Source organism: Homo sapiens, chromosome 5, assembly GCF_000001405.40.
Source record: "Homo sapiens chromosome 5, GRCh38.p14 Primary Assembly".
Lineage (NCBI taxonomy): Eukaryota > Metazoa > Chordata > Mammalia > Primates > Hominidae > Homo > Homo sapiens.
The window spans coordinates 124,245,607-124,265,340 of NC_000005.10; the positions used below are offsets into that span (position 1 = coordinate 124,245,607).

Below are 19,734 nucleotides of genomic sequence, written 5' to 3' on the forward strand. Positions count from 1 at the left end.
AAGGTTGATATACACCAGAATAGAATCTCAAAAGATAAAACTCACAGAGCCTATAAAAACACAATGAAGAAAACAAAGCATCTAGCTAACAATCAACACGATGACTGGAACAGGACCTCACATCTCTATTAACATTGAATGTAAATAGTCTAAATGTTTCACTTAAAAGATACAGATTGGCAGGGTAAATTAAAAAATAACAAACCAAATATCTGTTGTCTTCAAGAGACTTACTTAACACAAAAGGATTCTTATAGATTTGAGGTGAAGGGATGAAAAAATATATTTCACGCAAATAGAAAACAAAACAGAGCAGAAGTAGCTATTTTTACCTCAGAAAAAAACAGATGTTAAAGTAACAGTAAAAAAAAAAAAAAAAAAAAAAAAAGACAAAGAAGGCCATTATATAGTAATAAAAAGAATCCAACAAGAAGATGTTACAATCCTGAAATATATATATTCACCAACTCTGAGGCTCCCAGATTTGTAAAACAATTACTACTAGACCTAATAAAATAAGTAGCCACACAATAATAGTGGAGAAATTTAACACTCTGCTGATGGCACGAGACAGATCATCAAGGCAGAAAGTCAACAATGAAACAATCGATATAAACTACACTCTAGAACAAGTGGACTTAACAGATGTTTACAGAACATTCTACCTATGAACTGCAAAATATACATTCATCTGATCAGCACATGGAACGTTCTCCCAGATAGATAAATATGATAGGCCACAAAACAAGTCTCAATAAATTTAAAAAATCAAAATTATATCAAACATCTTCTCAAACTGCGGTAAAATAAAACCAGAAGTCAACTCCAAAAGGAACCCTCAAAAATATACTAATACATGGAAACTAAACAATCTGCTCTTGAATGATTGGCATAACAATGAAATAACAATGGAAATGTTAAAATTCTTCAAAATGAATAACAGTGACACAAATAACAGTGACACAACTTATCAAAACCTCTGGAATATGGCAAAAGCAGTGCTAAGAAGAAAGTTTATAGTGCTAAATGCCTACATCAAAAAGTCCAAAAGAACACAAATTGACAACCTAACATCACACCTCAAGGAACTAGAGAAACAAGAAAAAATTAAGCCCAAAGCTAGTAGAAGAAAAGAAATAACAAAGATTAGAGCAGAACTAAATAAAATTGAAATGAAAAAGAAAATATTACAAAAAATCAATGAAGTTAAAAGTTGGTTCCTTGAAAAAATTAACAAAATTGATAGAACATTAGCTAGACTAACCAAGAAAAGAGGAGAGAAGATTCAAATAAGCTTGATTAGAAACAAATGGAGACATTAAATCTGACACCATGGAAATACAAAAGCTCATTCGAGACTTCTATGAGTGCTTCTATGCATAAAAACTAGAAAATCTGGAGGAAATGGATAAATTCCTGGAAATATACAACCCTCCTAGCTTGAATCAGGAGGAAATAGAAATCCTGAGCAGACCAATAATGAGCAGTGAGATTTAATCAGTAATAACACAAAAATTGCCAACAACAACAAAAAAGCCTAGGACCAAATGGATTCAATTGGCAAATCTACCAGACAGTCAAATAAGAATTGGTACAAAACCTACTGAAACTATCACAAAAGATTGAGAAAGAGGAAATCCTCTCTAACTCATTGTATGAAGCCAGTATTACCCTGATACCAAAACCAGGAAAGTACATAACAAAAAGAGAAAACCACATACCTATATCCTTGATGATCATAAATGCAAAAATCCTCAACAAAATACTAGCAAGCCAAATCCAACAGCACATCAAAAAGATAATACACCAGTGATCAAATGGGTTTCAGTGCAGCGATGCAGGGATAGTTTAACATATGCAAGTCAATAAATGTGATACATCACATAAACAATTAAAAACAAAAACCATATGATCATCTCAATATATGCAGAGAAAGCATTCATTAAAATCCAGCATCATTTTGTGATAAAACTCCCAACAAATGCAGCATAGAGGGGACATATCTCAAGATAATAAAAGCCTCACACAAGAAATCCACAGCCAGCCTCGTATGGAATGGGGAAAAGTTGAAAGGATTCTCCCTGAGAACTGGAACAAGACAATGATGCCTACTTTCACCACTTCTGATTAACACAGTACTAGAAGTCCTAGCCAGAGCAATCAGGCAAGAGAAATAAATAAAGGGCATCAAATTGGAAAAGAGGAAGTCAAACTATTGCTGTTTCCTAATAGTAAAATTGTATGCTTAGTAAACCCTAAAAACTCTTCCAAAGACTCCTAGATTTGATAAATGAATTCAGTAAAGTCTCAGGTTACAAAATCAATGTACACAAACTAGTTGTGCTGCTATTCACCAAAAACAACTTAGCTGAGAATCAAATCAAGAACTCAATCCCTTTTACAAGAGCTGCAATAGAATAAATAAATAAAATATCTAGGTATATACTTAACCAAGGAGGTAAAATATTTCTACAAAGAGAACTACAAAACACTGCTGAAAGAAATCATAGATGACACAAACAAATGGAAACAAATCCCATGCTAATATATTGAAACAATCAATATCATGAAAATGACCATACTGCCCAAAGCAATCTACAGATTCAATGCAATACCTATTAAAATATCAATATCATTTTTCACAGAATTAGAAAAAACAATCCTAAAATTCATATGGAACCAAAAACGATCCTGAATAATCTGGAAGCATCACATTACCTGACTTCAAATTATACTCCAAGGCTATAGACACCAAAACAGCATGGTACTGGTATAAAAGTAGATATATAGACCAATGGAAAAAGATAGAGAACCCAGAAATAAAGCTAAATACTTACAACCAACTGATCTTTGACAAAGCATACAAAAACATAGATTGAGGAAAAGATATTCTATTTAACAAATAGTGCTGGGAAAATCAGCCGCATATAGAAGAATGAAAGTAGATCCCTCTCTCTCATCTTATACAAAAATCAAGTCAAGATGGATTAAAGACTTGAATGTAGGACCTAAAACCATGAAAATTACAGAAAAAAACCTAGGAAAAGCTCTTCTGGACACTGGTTTAGGCAAAGAATTTATGACTAAGATTCCAAAATCAAATGCAACAAAAACAAAAATAAATAAATGGGACCTAATTATACTAAAAAGCTTTTGCACAGCAAAATAAACAATGGTCAGAGTAAACAAACAACTCACAGAGTGGGAGAAAATATTTACAAACTATGTATCTGACCAAGGATTAATATCCAGAATCTACAAGGAACTCAAACAAATCAGCATTAAAAAACAAAAGCAAATAATTCCATCAAAAAGTGGACAAATGATATGAATAAACATTTCTCAAAAGAAGATATACAAATGGCCAACAAATGAAAATAATGCTCAACATCACTAATCATCAGGGAAATACAAATTAAAAGCACAATGAGATAACATCCTACCCCAGCCAGAATGGCCACTATTAAAAAGTCAAAAAACAATAGATGTTGGCATGGACATGGTGAAAAGAGGATACTTATACACTGATGTTGGAAATGTAAATTAATACAACCTCCGTGGAAAACAGTATGGAGATTTCTTAAGGAACTGAAAGTAGATCTACCATTCAGTCGGGCAGTCCCACTGCTGGATATCTACCCACAGGAAAAGAACTCATTATATCAAAAAGACACCTGCACATGTATGTTTATCACAGCACAATTTACAATCGCAAAAATATAGAACCAACCTAAATGCCTATTGACTAATGAGTGGATAAAGAAAATGTGGTAATATATACACCAGGGAATACCATTCAGCCACAAAAAAGAATGAAATAATGTCTTTTGCAGCAACTTGGATAGAGTTGGAGGCCATTATCTTAAGTGAAGTAACGTGGGAATGGAAAACCCAATATCATATGTTCTCACTTATAAGTGGGAGTTAAGCTATGGGTACACAGAGTGGTAAAATGGACTCTGGAATTCAGAGGCGGGAAAGTCGAGATGAGGGATAAAAAGCTACATATTGGGTACAGTGCACACTACTTGGGTGACTGGTACACTAAGATCTCAGACTTCACCACTATACAATTCATCCATGTAACCAAAAACCACTTCTACCTCAAAAGATACTGAAATAAAAAAAATTAATTTAAAAATTTAAAAAAATAAAATGTATTTTTAAATTAAAAAAATACAAACGCATTGTACAACTGTACAAAAATATTTTCTTTTTTCACACCCTTATTCTATAAGCTTTTTTCCATTTTTAAATTATCTATTTTTTTAACTTTTAAACTTTTTTTGTCAAAAACTAAGAAACACACCTTAGCCTAGTCCTCCACAGGACCAGGATTATCAACATTACCATCTTCCTCCTCCATATCTTATCCCACTGGAAGGTCTTCAGGGCAATAATATGCATGGAAATTTCATCTCTTATAACAATGTCTTATTCTGGGGTACCTGCTGAAGGACCTACCTGAGGCTGTTTTACAGTTAACCTTTTCTTTAATAAGTTGAAGGGGCACACTCTAAAATAACAACAAATAGCATAGAATAGTAAATACATTAACCAGTAACATAGTCATTTATTATCAAGTACTGTGTACATAATTGTATGTGCTATAATTTTATGTCTGGTAGCAAAATACGTTTGTTTCCACCAGCATCACCACAAACACTTGAGTAATGTATTGCTGTAATGCATTGCATTATAATGGCTACAATATCAGTAGGTGATAGGATTTTTTCAGTCCCGTTATAATTTTATGGAACCACCATTGTGAATGTGGTCTGCCGTTGACCAAAATGTTGCTATGCAGCAAATGACTATATTTTGCTTAGAAATTTTCATGCCAGATACCCTGCTTCATTGCTCTTTCATAAAGCCCTAGGGCATGGACACAATTCAACCAAGTTCTTTGCCACTTTAAAAGGATGGCCTTTTCTCCAGTTTCCAATAAGATGTTCCTCTTTTTCGTCTGAGACCTCATCAGAATGGCCTTTACTGTCCATATTTCTACCAACATTCTTTTATAAATCATAGCAATTTGATATATAGATATATTGGTTTGATATATAAGAATCGCCTCTGGGAAGCTATAAACCATACTGATGAGCCTGCCTACCCCAGCCTAATTAAGGCAGAATCCTTGAAAGGAGGGCTGGGCATTACAATTTTTTAAAATTCTCTAGGATATGTCACTATGAGAGATTCCACATAAAAGAAGTAATGGAAATGTTTCTAGCAAGTTATTTTGTAGAGATCACTAAATTGATTTCAAAGTGTATAAGGAGAGAGAAAAGACCTAGAATAGCCAACACAATATTGAAGGAGAGGAACAAAGTGAGAGGACTGACACAACCTGACTTCAAGACTTACTATAAAGCTACAGTGATCAAGACAATGTGGTATGAGTGAAAGAAAGACAAATAGATCAATGAAACAAAATAGAGAACCCAGAAATAGACCCACATAAATACACTTGCTATGGTTTGAATTTGTCCCCAGAGTTTATGTGTTGGAAACTTGATCTCCAGTGTGTTGATGTTGAGAAGTAAGGCCTAATGATTAGGCTCTGAGGTCTCTGTCATCATGAAGGTATTAATGCCATTATCACAGCAGTGGATTCCTTATAAAATAATGAGTTTGGTTCCCTTCCTCTCTCTCTCTCTCTCTTTGCTCTTCCATCATGGGGTGACACAGCAAGAAGATCTTTGACAGTTGCCAGCCCTCCAATTTTGGACTCCCCAGCCTCCAGAACCATTAGCTAATAAATTTCTGTTTGTTAAAAATTACCCAATTCGGGTATTCTGTTAACAGCAGTACAATAGCAAAGACAGAACAACAGAGAAAAGGTAGTCTTTTCAATAACTGTTGCAGGGACAGTTAGACATCCACATGCAAAAATAATGAATCTAGACACAGACTTTATACCCTTCACAAAAATTAATTCAAAATGATCATACACCTGAATGCAAACACAAATCTATAAAATTCCTAGAAAATAATAGAAGAAGCTCTAGACAGCCATGGGAATGGTGATGACTTTTTTAACAAAGGCACAATCTGTAAAAAAAAATCATTGATAAGCTGGACTTCATTAAAATTAAAAACTTCTACGGTGTGAAAGACAGTGTTAAGATAATAAGAAGACAAATGACAGACGGGAGAAACTCTTCGCAAAAGAAGTAGTAGGAATATAAGACCGTGAGAAGGATGAGAATAATTTATAGTAAGTTTCATTACAAATAAAAGGCACCCTCAACTGCCTCCACTGACAAAATTGCTTTGGTGGTGATAGCATCTGGCAGGATGGGGATGGAAGTGGGGAGCGTTTGTTCTTTGGAGATGGTGTTGTCTTTTTCAGATGGTCATTACTAGCCATTCTGGTTTTCTTTTCTTACACTGAGTTTACAAAGCCTCTTGATTCCTAGCAAAGCATCCCACCCAGCAAATGAGGGTAGCATGGGCATTTGAGTTGTGGTTGCTGACATGATTATTTCCTTGCTCTTTGTATCTGCTTGGGCACTTGCAAGCCAGCTTTTATTTCTCTCCAGGAAGGGGGTTATGTGAAGATTTCTTAAACTGCAGTGCATTCTTCACCATTCAGCCTCCCTCAATAAATCTGGCAGAAGTTCAGCTCCTGTAAAAAGCAAGTCAGCCCCAACTACCCTTGTCATTTCCATTTTTCATACATCTACTTTTGGTATGTGCAGTATGAATGCTATTTCTCTGTGCAGTTTCATCTCATTTGCCCACTGCCATAGGCTACAGTGTGGAACAAAGTTCACTTTCAAATTCAATCTCAAACAAAATGAAAAAGCAAGAAAATCATGAAAGAGAAAGCTGGCTTCAGCCATTAATATGGATCTCACTGCCAGATTCTTCTGCTTTATCCATCAAATGTGAGTGAGAGGAATCTGCTCCCACGTGCAGCTGCTACGGCTCTGACCCTGGTCACAGGATACTGTCAATCAACAGAGCAGCTCCTAAGAACAGCCTGGAGTGAGTGCTGGCTGCCAGGTGCAGACAGCCCAACAGGCTATTGAATAACATCATGAATGGTACTGGACCCCTTACTCTGATAACAGTAACAATCCCTGGGGCCTTTCAACAAAATGGTAGGAACCACCCTAAATTTATTTTAGACACCAAGTTTAGGATTAAGGGATTCAGGAGGAAATGACAGGGTTTCCAGAGGAAAGGTATGCATTTTCTTTAAAAAAAAATTTTTTTAAACCCACACAGTGTTTATATCTCTGCTTGAAAGTTCAGTATTCTTTAAATACATCAGTGGATCCTGCTAAATTATACATGTGGTCCGAATTAGAGAGTCCTGTGTCTTACATCTGGGTTTATTCCAATTTGCTGGGTTATCTTGGAAAATCAGCTCAAATGAAACTGAGTTCTGTTCACATGTACACACATACACAACCCCCAGGCCCACACCTGCCCATATGCAAGGTTAAACTTGGGGATAGCAGAAGTATAGGGGACATAGAAACAGTCCTGTGATTTTATCCTGGGTATTCCTAGAAAAAAGATGGCAAAAGTCCTTCAAAGCCTTCCCCAGAAGTGAGCTAGCACCCCTTCTATAAAATCAGGCAATATTGTACCTTATTAGCTCAAAAAATTCTGAATGTTTTCTACTTCTTTCCCCCAAGTCCGAAAAGATGCGTGTTGGATACACCAAGAAGGAAACGCTCAGGCCTTCTTTCCTACCTGGCTGTGAAAGTTGGTAAGGAATCTAATTTTAAAAGAGCAGGGAAGGAAACACTGAGTGGCTGCAGTTCAGACTCTGAGTTTGTTGCGATGCACAATCAGTGCCAACGGGCTTCTTCTCTTCCAGGAATTATATGTGATTGATCCTCTTTAAATAAATTTGGCTAGCTAACAAATAGCTTTCCCTTGCCAACGTTTTCTCAATATGGTCTCCAGACTCTTTATGGTTTTAAAAAAATTACCAAATAAAATTCATGAAAAGGCAACAAGAAACATATCTTACAAAATTTCTGTACAGAATTCAAACATTGTTCTTGTGCCAGACACACACAGCTGTGGGCCTGACGTGGCAGAACCATCTGCTATAAGCTCCACGCTGTAGCTGCTTGAAAGACAGAGCTGGGTAGGTGCGTCTTTTGTTGGAAACACACAAACCATAACTATGGAGCTTTCCTGTTTCCCTCCCCCGCCCCCTTCATTGCCGTCTGTCCATTTGGATGGAATTATCACAAGAGTGTTATATGCACAGAATGGTGCAGACAATGTGGGCAAAATACAATTGCTTAAAGCAAATGGATGTTTGCACCTTGGTGTTTAAGCTTTCCTGATTTCAATTGGGTTTGGGATCATTATACCTACTGAAAAAATGGGAACCTTCAGAACATTAGCACTGACACATATGTCAACTTAAACCAGTTAAATCATTCTCAATCCAGAGCAGGTGTCCTAAGTGTCATTTCTATACATCTATTTCCTTTATAAACATAATTATGTGAATATGTTTTAACTTTCCAGAAGAATCCTATCAAATTGTGTTACCATCAAATCTTATTAATAGAGCTAAATAAGCAACCGTCTTTGACAGGAAGATTGTTCCTCTTCCCATTCTACACTGTGGCATCATTTGCCAGAATCAGAGCCCCCCAGCTGCCTGTAGGATGCTTATGTCAGTCACATCAGAGAAGGAATGTAGGACAGCTCTAAGAGTATCTTTGGACAGGGGTGGGCTCACATAGCCTCAGAGTAAGTGTTTTCTCTTAGGTAAAGGGCTCTTCCTGAGTCAAAGGTAGGTTGTCTTAGCTGGTGGAGCTTATGAACATCTTGTCAGAACGGTGTTTTTACATGTGGAAAATAAAATCCAGAATACAGAGAAAATCAATTATATTGAAATATTCTTATCAAACTGTTTTAACAGACAGGTTTGTGATATAGTAATGTATATGCATATTTATTAACTCATTAAATAACAGAATAGGGTGAAGGGTGGAATATCAATCATAAGGCTGAGCTAAGTGATGGACATTAACAAACTTTCTGCAAAAACTTTAATGCAATACAAAATCATCTGTGAGTTTTATCAGTGACAAAGTCACAAGTGCTTCTAAGACTACTGTGATGTTTTTGCCTAAATGCAGAATTGAAGGAAACACTGAATTACAGTTAGAGATTCATAAAAATAAAGTTATTTTCCCCCATTCCAGTTCATAGGCCCCCGAATTCTATCCATGGCCCATTTTTTTATTTATTTTGCTTTTCAACAATTGGTTTATGGAGCTTTTAAAAAAGTGTGTATAGAGTCAATGATGAATTAGGATGTAGTATGAAAGAAAATGACAGAGGACAGATATTGAGAGATCATTTGTCCATTTTTTAAAATCAGATGATTAGTTTTGCTATTGAGTTGTTTGAATTCTTTATGTATTCTGGTTATCAATCCCCTGTAGGATGAAGAGTTTGCAAATATTTTCTCCCACTTTTTGGTTGTCTCTTCACTTTGTTGAGTGTTTCCTTTGCTGTGCAGAAGGTTTTTAACTTGATGTAATCATTTGTCTATTTTTGCTTTTGTTGCTTATGCTTTTAAGGCCTTACCCCAAAAAATCTTTGCCCATACCAATGTCTTTTTTTCCCCCATAAGTTATTGCAGTACAGGTTGTATTTGATTACATGAATAAGTTCTTTAGTGGTGATTTGTGAGATTTTGGTGCACCCATCACCTGAGCAGCATACAGTATACACTGCTCAATATTTATGGACTTCTATCCCTTGCCCCCCTCCCACTCTTCTTCCGAAGTCCCCAGAGTCCATTCTTAGGCTTGTGTGTCCTAATAGCTTAGCTCCCACGTATCAGTGAGAACATATGGTTTTTGGTTTTTCATTCCTGAGTTACTTCACTTAGAATAATATTCTCCAGTCTCATCCAAGTCCCTGCAAATGCTGTTAATTCATTCCTTTTTATGTCTGAGTAGTGGTCCATCATATATATCTACCACAGTTTCTTTATCCACTTGTTGATTGATGGGCATTTGAGTTCGTTCCATGATTTTGCAATTGTGAATTGTGCTATTATAAACATGAACATTCCTCTTAGCACTGCCTTTGCTGTATCCCAGAGGTTTTGGTAGGTTGTGTCATTATTGTCATTCAGTTCAAAGAATTTTTAAATTTCCATCTCTGAAAAAAACTATATCTTTCCTTCATATATGATGCTTAGTTTTGCTGGATACAAAATTCTTGGCTGATAATTGTTTTGTTTTAGGAGGCTGAAGATAGGGCCCCAATCCCTTCTAGCTTGTAGGATTTCTGCTGAGAAATCTGCTGTTAATCTGATAGGTTTTCCTTTGTAGGTTACCTGGTTCTTCTGTCTCACAGCTCTTAAGATTCTTTCCTTTGTCTTAACTTCAGATAACCTGGTGAAAATGTGCCTATGCAATGATATTTTTGTGATGAATTTCCCAGGTGTTCTTTGTGCTTCTTGTATTTAGACATCTAGGTCTCTAGCAAGGCCAGGGAAGTTTTCCTGGATTATTCCCCCAAATATGTTTTCCAAGATTTTAGAATTCTCTTCTTCCTCAGGAACACCAACTATTCTTAGGTTTGGTCACTTAACATAATCCCAGACATCTTGGATGCTTTTTTCATATTTTCTTTTTTTTCTTCATCTTTGTTGGATTAGGTTAATTCAAAAACCTTGTCTTTGAGCTCTGAATTTATTTCTTCTACTTGTTCAATTTTATTGCTGATGCTTTCCAGAGCATTTCACATTTCTAAAAGTGTGTCCAAAGTTTCCTGAATTTTTAATTGTTTTTGTTTGTTTGTTTAAGCTAATATTTCCTTGAATATTTCTCTCTTCACTTCTTGTATCATTTTTTGGATTTCCTTGCATTGGGCTTCGCCTTTCTCTGATGCCTCCCTGATTAGCTTAATAACTAACCTCCTGAATTCTTTTTCAGGTAAATCAGGGATTTCTTCTTGGTTTGGATCCATTTTAGGTGAATTAGTGTGATTTTGGGGGATGTTAATGAGGCTTGTTTTCTCATATTACAAGGGCTGGCTTTCTGGTTCCTTCTCATTTGGGTAGGCTCTGTCAGAGGCAAGGTCTAGGGCTGAAGGCTGTTGTTCAGATTCTTTTGTCCCACGGTGTTCCCTTGATGTAATACTCTCCCCATTTTCCTATGGATGTGGCTTCCTGTGAGCCGAACTGCAGTGATTGTTGTCTCTCTTCTGGGACTAGGTTGGTACTAGCAGTTGTTTGCACAGAGTCCTGTGATGTACAATGTCTATGGATCTTTCAGCTGTGGATACCAATGCCTATTCCTGTGGAGGTCGCAGGGGGTGCAATGGACTCCGTGAGGGTTCTTAGCTTTGGTGGTTTAATGCTCAATTTTTGTGCTGGTTGGCCTCCTGCAGGGAGGTGGCACTTTCCGGAGAGCATCAACTGTAGTAGTATGGAGAGGGACCATCGGGGGCAGGGCCCCAAAACTCCAAAGATTATATGCCCTTTGTCTTCCACTACCAGGATGGGTAGGGAAGGACCATCGGAGGGGGCAGGGCTAGGTGTGTCTGAGCTCAAATTTTCCTTCAGTGGGTCTTGCTGCGACTGCTGTGGGGGATGCGGGTGAGATTACCAGGTCACTGGAGTTGTGTACCTAGGAGGATTATGGCCTTCTCTGCTGAGTCATGCAGGTTGTCAGGGAAGTGAGGGAAAGCTGGCAGTCACAGGCCTCACCCAGCTCCCACGCAAACCGAAGGGCTGGTCTCATTCCCACAAAACCCCCACCAACAGCCCGAGTCTGTTTCCAGGTAGTGGATGAGACGGGCTTGAAAACTTAACCCAGGCTACCCACCTCCCAGTTGCAAAAGAAAAGGATTTGGTTCTTCCCCAGGCGCTGTGGAATCTGCATACTAGATTTGCACCTTCCCCCAAGTCCTGGCCAGGAGGCTTCTCGCCTCTCACCCATTCAAACTGTTACAAAGTTCAGCTAGAGATCTCCTTCTCTCTGTGGAGTTTTACCCCCTGCTCCTCTGGCCACCCTCCCAATGGATCCCTGTGGTGCCAGGCAGGAGTGGCCTGCTAGGGGACCCAACAAGCTCCCAGGGCCTTTCTGCTGCTTCCTCTACCCCTGTATTTCACTTGGCTCTCTAAATTGACTCAGCTCCAGGTAAGGTCGGAAACTTCTCCTGCAAACAGACCTTCGGTTTCTCCAGTGGGGCTGTGTGTTCAGGAGAGTAGTGTCTCCCTTTCCCACTTCTGCAGTTGGAGCCCTCACAGTATTTGGAGTATCTCCCGGGTCCTGCAGGAGCAGTCTGCTTCCTTCTGAGGGTCTTTGGGTTGTCTCAGGATTGCTTGTTTGTCCATGGACCCTTTAGAAGTCCTAGGTAAAGATCCTTATTTTTCCTTTTAGATTATTAAATCTAATAATATATAGATATAGATATAACAAATACAATCTTGTGGTCCAAACAGTAAGTGAAAATGTTACATGAATATGGAAGGTTATGTGCTTCCAGATTCATGAATCCCAAGCTTTCTCTGTCAAAGAAAATATGTTTGCTACTGTTGAAGCTTCACAATGCTGGCCTTTTAAATGCCATTTGTGAGTTTCTCTTCTGTATCAAATGATACCTTTATTCTAGCTTCTCCTCTCTCTTGTCATTCTAACTTCTGGATGTGATGCTTACCTCTGTATATCTTGCCTGCTTCCACAAATACACTCCTATTTCTCTCCTGTCTTGGTTTTTTTTTCTCCCCAAATCCTAACAACGTTTGTGTATATATAATTAATCACCAACAAATGCATTAATCCCTGTTGTTTATTTAATGGTCACATGATAATTCTCACTAATATGATACTCCAAGAACTTCTGAAGAGCCCCTTCTCTGCTGTTTCCCATCCCCATCCCACTAACATCTCCAACCCAACAGCTATGAGAATCAACCTGAGAACCATTGGCAAACACCATTAACTGCTTTCTAAACATATTTTCGGGGAAATTTTAAAAAGACGTTCTTTTCTTTTGAAGCTCTGGCAGACTAAATTATCAGAAACTTGCTCACTTCTCATTAGATATAAGAGCTACAAGCATGAAGGGAGTAATGTATTAGGTGAACAGTTGAATTAAATAACTTTGCAGGTCTTGGCTACCTTTGAAATTCTAAAACCCCCACTTCAATTGTATCTGAGCAACTCAAAATTTCACATCCAAATTCTGTACATGTAAATTGGTTCTAACTGGTGTATTCACAGACTTTGGAATAGGCAATAGAGATTAGGGAAGCATTGACTCTTCATGTTTGTCGAATACATGAGTTTCATTTTTATTTGGTTGTCAGTATACCTTGTATGTTACTGTTTCATTTTGCTCTTGTAGGGACAGAGAGGTAAGATCCCTTTCCTCACCCATCATAAGGGCCATGGCTAACAACAAAAGACAGATCAATTAAAGTTTTAGGTGACATAGGAGCCTTCAGAAATGAAGACTCAAAGACTCAGGGGAAATCGTTTTTATGCTAATGTTCAATAAAGAATGAGCAGCCGTGTAGAAATGTGGTTGGATGAAGGGGGTATGACTTAATGGTAATACACCGAGCAAGGAAAACCGGCAAGGCCTGTCTGTTCAGATTCTTCTTGACTTCTCTGGGTAGCATTTCTCCTCCCTAGCATGGGGCAGGACTGCTCTGGAATGAGGGTCTGATGACCTGCTCTCAGACAAAGTAGGAGGCAGGGATAGTTTAACAAGTCAATGAATATGATACACCACATAAACAGAATTAAAAACAAAAATCACATGATCATCTCAATAGAAGCAAAAAAAGGTCAGGGAATTTTTTAATGGCCAGCTCTTATACAGAAAGATGTGGGAAGGTTGGAATTCTATTTCTAGGTTTTAGGGCTGGCTTTAGGGAAGAGGAATTCTAGCTTCTATGACTCACTTTGGGGAGATAGATGGGTGGGAGACAGGAGGATGAGAAGTCAGAAAGACCTTGGTTATAAGCCAGTCATGGTGGCTCACACCTGTAATCCCAGCACTTTGAAAGGCCAAGGCAGGCGGATCACTTGAGGCCAGGAGTTTGAGACCAGCCTGGCCAACATGACGAAACCCTGTCTCTACTAAAAATACAAAAATTAGCCGGGTGTGATGGTGCTCATCTGTAATCCCAGCTACTCAGGAGGCTGAGGCATGAGAATCATTTGATTGTGGGAGGCGGAGGATGTAGTGAGCTATCACACCACTGTGATCACCAGCTTGGGTGACAGAGCAAGACTCTGTCTCAAAAAACAAGAAAAAAGGCCTTGTTTATGAGGCTCTTCTGAGGTCTTCCAATCTCCTTTAGTTCAAAGTACTCAGCATGCCAAAGCACTATACTTTGGGGCATCATTTTTTGAGGCCCAACACTATGGAAGAACAGGGTTACAGGTACCTAAGTGACTGTATTGAGTGTTGAAAAATTCCTCAGTTATGAATATATTCTTTGTAAATTCTTTCTGATATTACCAAAGAGGGTGGGATTACAAAGCTGCTCAATGAAAAACCAGTAGAAGACATCTTTTTCCAAAATGGAATTAGATTTAGTTTCTCCGGCAACTAAAAATGAGACCTTCTCACTACAAGTAATTTTGAAACTACACACACTAACATTAGAAGAAAAAGGTTTTTAGTCTCATCAATATCTACCACCCAGAGATGACCACAGTTAATTCATGAGCAACCCTCCAGACATGTGTCTACACATATAAATAGATGTGCAGATATAGATATCTGTAATTTACATAAGTAAAATAATTTTACACATGATATTGTGTCATGAACACCTTTTCAGATCAATAAATACAGCACTACATCATCCTTTGTAATGGAGCTTTAGTATTCCATTGAATTTATTTAGTCAATTCATCTGTTGTTTTGAAAACCCCACTTTTTTGCAGGAAAAAATTAGACAAAGTTTAATATCCATTTATGACCAAAACTCTCAGCAAACTTGAAATATAAGAGAACTTCCACCTGCTAAAATGTATCTATGAAAAACCTATAGCCAACCTCATATCTATTTTTTCTTTTCTTCAGCTTTTAAGTTTAAGGGTACGTGCAGAGGATGTGCAGGTTTGTTACATAGGGAAATGTGTGCCATGGTGGATTGCTGCACAGATCATCCCATCACCTAGGTATTAAGCCCAGCATCTGTTAGCTATTCTTCCTGATGCTCTCCCTCTGCCACCGCTGACTTCTGACAGGTCCCAGTGTGTGTTGTTCCCCCTTGTGTCCATGTGTTCTCATCATCCAGCTCCAACTTATTGAAAACCCCACTTTTAAAAGTGGAATAAATCTGGTGGCATAGTATGACACTGCCTCAGCAGCCTCTGAGGTAATCCTGGCATATCTCACACCAGACAATGATAACGTTAGCCCTAGAGTCACTTAATAAGAGAAGCCCACAGTTACTGGGTCAGACTCTGAGATACCAGAGTCTGCATGTCAGAAACCAAACCAAATCAACAGCGGGAGTTACAAAGAATCACAAAGGCATTCATGGAGAAATGAGCTCCCCTGGGAGACTCGCTACAATTAGGAAACCGCCCCCTCCTCTTCCCCATGGTGGGAACAGTATGTCTGATCCAGCAGCCAGGCTGTGGGCAGGAAACCCTGCTTGATGCCACGTAGGACAGAAGACCAGCTCTCGTCCTCAGACACACGTGGCTGGTGCAGTCTGGCACATGAGGAAGGGTATTACTCTTCCCAGATGGTGTTTCCTATCCCTCTTCACAGCCAATCTAGGAAATGGCTGTGCCAACATTGGCAAAAGTGTCCTGCAGTCGACATGGGGAGTTAGTCTCAGAGTTGGAGGATTTACCATCGTGATGTAACTGGTATCCCTTACATGGAAAAGGTAACTTACAAGTACACAAACGGTGTAGCTATGTGCCATAGTTAGAAGTAAGACTGGATGAGAATACCAGATCTCCATGAAGAAAAGATCTAACACTCAGATGGTGTACTGACACAAGAAAGAACAAAATCAAAGAGATGAAAACGAACCTCTTGCTTTCAGGAAATCCTGATGAGACACATAGCTTTTGGCACTCCCAGTAGGAATGCAGTTTTACTCAATGCCTCCCTTTGAACTCTTGCTTCTACTAAAAACTAATTGGTGCTCTGATGACGGGAAAGCCTTCCTTTAGTGGGGAGGCTTCTAGTGTTAGGTATGTGTCCTTTGAGCCATTAATACCTCCATAGGTGGACAGTCATAAAAATAACTGTCCTACCTAATAAGAGTACTGTTAAAGTTATTCAAAATGCTGAAAGCATTAAACAGATATAAAGATGTACATTTTTCTATACCTATATGATAAACACTGAGATGAATATTCATATTACCCAGAAGAGATGTGGCAAATATGGAAGCCACTTGCATTCCACAGTATTTATGTGCAAGGCATGGTGCTAGGTTACAGGGAAGCCAAGAAAACGAAGTCACAGCTTCTACCCTCAAGGAGTTCACAGCTTTATTTTTTAAAAAGGGCAGCTACTCACTACAAAAAGAAGTAACTTACTCAAGATCACACACAGTAATGAGCTTCAAAAAAAGGTCCAGGAGTCAGATATTACCTTGAATATGTCTCTCTGAGCAGAGGAAGATACAGAATTTTCTTTGAACTGTTCCACATGTCCCCTGACATGAAAGCTACTAATTTAACTGGTTAAGAAACCCTGAATCATAAGGGCCAGAAATGCCATCTTTTCCCTGACTATAAACTCAGCAGACAGCAAGAAAATAATGCAGAGTAAGGGGGAGGAGCGATTAACAAAGTACTGCATGTGGATAATGTTAATTTTTAAAATAGATGCACTCGGGGATGTCTCTTTAAATATCCACATTGAATAGGGAGGAATCTGTTCATTTGTTTATTCTACTCTAACCAGACCCTGGCATTCTGTTACCAGAAATATCCTCCTTTCCCCCTCCTCTCTTCCCGGCATTGTCTGCAGGTGCCTTCGCCCTAATACTGAAGTCCTCTGCATGAGGCTGTGACAGGGCTCCTCCGAATATTTGGCAATGAAAGCTGCTTGGCCCATTTTGCACATGCATTTGGGAGATTTCCAAACAGATGCATATTCGTCTTCACTTTCTTGGCAGGAGGGCTGAGAATTTAAGGATTCTTATGGAGAATTTATGCTGCTCTGAAAACTTAACCCATCGTGGAAGAAACATGAAAGAGTTCGTATAAAAGACATGACCTTTTGCCTCCTTTTGGAGTCTGTTGCTTGGCCTCCTGTGTCTTTGTTGCCTTTTATTAAAGCTTTAGCGACTTTCTTTGTGAACGGGTGATTTTCACTGTCCTGAGCTCTCTAGGGTCTATTTTATTTTCAACAATGATTTCCATTTCATCTGAATCCATTGCCACAGCCAAAGATGTGCTTCTTTATTCAGAAAGTGCCATCAGTAGGGATGGAAACAAAATATTGTCTGAAAGCCATTTGGGGGCAATTTAACAAAAAGGGGGTAGAAAAATGAGAGTAACCTATAATTTTATTACCTGGAGCTACATGCTAACAAGGACAAAACAAGAAGTCCCAACAATGGGTGAGCCATGGATGGATCAGCAGCCTGATTGGCAAATCCTAAACAATAACTCTTATTCCTCTGAGTTATTTAATCCCCACATGATCAGACAGAACAAAGAAAGCCCTGCATATCAGGAAGATTTTATAATTTCATATCTGCCTATATTTGTCTGGGCTAAATATAGCCAAGAGCCTTTTAATATTCTCCCTAAAGGATCCTTTGAAAACTCACCAAACAGGAATTACCCTGTAAAAATGCAGAGACGCAATGCTCTGCAAACAGTATTTTCTTAAACTGGATAAACTGCAAATAAAACAAACACACAAAGAAAATTAAATAGTAGTCTAAAAGAATAAGAAAGTAACCTAGCCTCCCTTATTTGACATTGAAAATAATTTTTATAATGTTTAGCCAGGTCCTTCTTTGATAAATACACTAAAGAAATGATTTTTTTTGTCTGCTTAGATATTTCAGGTTTTGTTTTTAATTTGCTTCCTCAGTCATGCTTTTACTTACTTTCCAATTCCTTCCCTCCTTTCCTGGCTCTTACCTGTGTAACCTGATTATACCCTGACATGGATTCCTCCCAGTATAGCTTCCCCACTGCTCAGGGACTTGGACTACAGTCACAGGCATTTATACATCTGCACTGACTCACTCAATCTATTCTTCAGCTCAGTAGGATGCCCTGAAGAAAGGTTCTCAAGCAGGGTCTAACAGGATCTTTATGAGTTGGGAGTTTATTTTTCCCTCTTTAGGGTAACCACTTTGCTAGGAGATGACAGAGATGCTGAGACTCCCTGCATCTGCTCCCTTCTGGCACCCAGCACCAGGGATTTATGATCAACCAAGACCAAGGAGCAACCCCCTGGAGGACGGCTCACAAGGCCTTGTGAAACAAAGGAAGTTTCTTCAAGCAGCTTATCTGTATTAGCAGCACTTGATTCTAGATAGGCGAGTGCACCAACAATTCCGCCTAAAAGAATAACAGTGGCTGAGGAGAACACACTTCCAACTGTGCAGCAATTAGAGTGCTGTTGAATGGCTGATTGCTTGCGTGTGGTCCCCTTAGTTCCCTGGTGGAGCGTGCTTATAGTTCTGCAATTGGATAAAATGGATTGGAATGAGCACTGTCATATAGAACTGCCAGCTGTTCTACTGTTAATAAAGACACTATTTAGCTATTAATACATCCCATTCTTCCATGTTGTGCCCATTCAAACAAAATATCTTTGTTTGCAAAGGGGGTGTGACTGCACCTGTTCTTGATTGGAGATTCTGTGGCCTGTGGAGGACCCCTTGTTACCATTGCGCAGCAATTGTAGCTTCCAGGCAGTGTCTGCTTGTAAAAGAAACGGGGAGACTAGACAGTGGGATTTAAAAAAGAAAAAAATGAAGCTGTGGGTTCAACAGAGCTGCCATTTCTTCAAATGGTCTTTATGAAAAAAAAAAAAAGTCTAGTTTATTGGGCAAGTTGGAATTACTTGTAAGCAAATTCCGTGTGACTAATGATTCCTTCCCTTTTTCAAGGAGTTATTGTGTTTTAAATATTCCTGAGTATGAAGGCAGAATTCTATGGTGATCTCAGCAGGTGAAAAATGCAGCCTAAGCCTGAGTAATTAACAGGAGATACTACTTCCCAAATAAGCAAAAGAGCAAAGCACTTTCTTTCTTTCTATGGGCAAGCACAATACTAGGTTCTTTGGAGTGCCATCTTCAAGGAATTTACAATAAGGGTAAGGAGACAAGATATATATAGATATATATATATATATATATGCAGGAAATATATATATATATGCAGGAATATATATATATATATATATATATATATATATATATATATGCAGGAAAAAATAACCCACATGAACCAAGCTATGTTATGTCTCTGTTTCCACATGGATAGATATGAAACACAACAGGGTGTTGAGTGGGATCAATTCTAAAATTGTAGTTAAGGCCCAAGCGGGAGCCACCACTTAACTGCTATCAGTTGGAGTAGATTTTCTTGGAGCTTATGAAGATGCTAACCTGTTGCTGATAATAACCACCACCATCACCATGAAGAAAATCAAAATATTCGACCCCAAAATACACTTCTGTAACTTATTTTGGAATGGCTGTTCCTCAAGAGCCAGCAAACAGAAGTAGCCTTGCAAAGTTGTCTTTTGTGAGGGAGAGTT

At 38.5% G+C, this 19,734-nt stretch overlaps 1 long non-coding RNA gene across 1 annotated transcript in view, besides 2 other annotated features; it reads right to left on the reverse strand.

Annotated features, from left to right (window-relative positions):
* The window catches only part of LINC01170 (long intergenic non-protein coding RNA 1170), a 378,727-nt gene that overhangs the window by 185,813 nt on the left and 173,180 nt on the right, over positions 1-19,734 (reverse strand). The window lies entirely within an intron of this gene.
* Positions 11,091-12,290: an enhancer, noted in NCBI's record as "MED14-independent group 3 enhancer chr5:123592390-123593589 (GRCh37/hg19 assembly coordinates)". NCBI's record gives its function as "activates an origin of replication core promoter dependent on BRD2, BRD4, P300/CBP and CDK7 cofactors, and independent of MED14, by STARR-seq in HCT116 cells {active_cell/tissue: HCT116}" and the evidence as "EXISTENCE:reporter gene assay evidence [ECO:0000049][PMID:35650434]".
* Positions 18,007-18,947: an enhancer, noted in NCBI's record as "OCT4-NANOG hESC enhancer chr5:123599306-123600246 (GRCh37/hg19 assembly coordinates)". NCBI's record gives its function as "activates a minimal SCP1, AML or CMV promoter by ChIP-STARR-seq in naive H9 embryonic stem cells {active_cell/tissue: H9 hESC(naive)}" and the evidence as "EXISTENCE:reporter gene assay evidence [ECO:0000049][PMID:30033119]".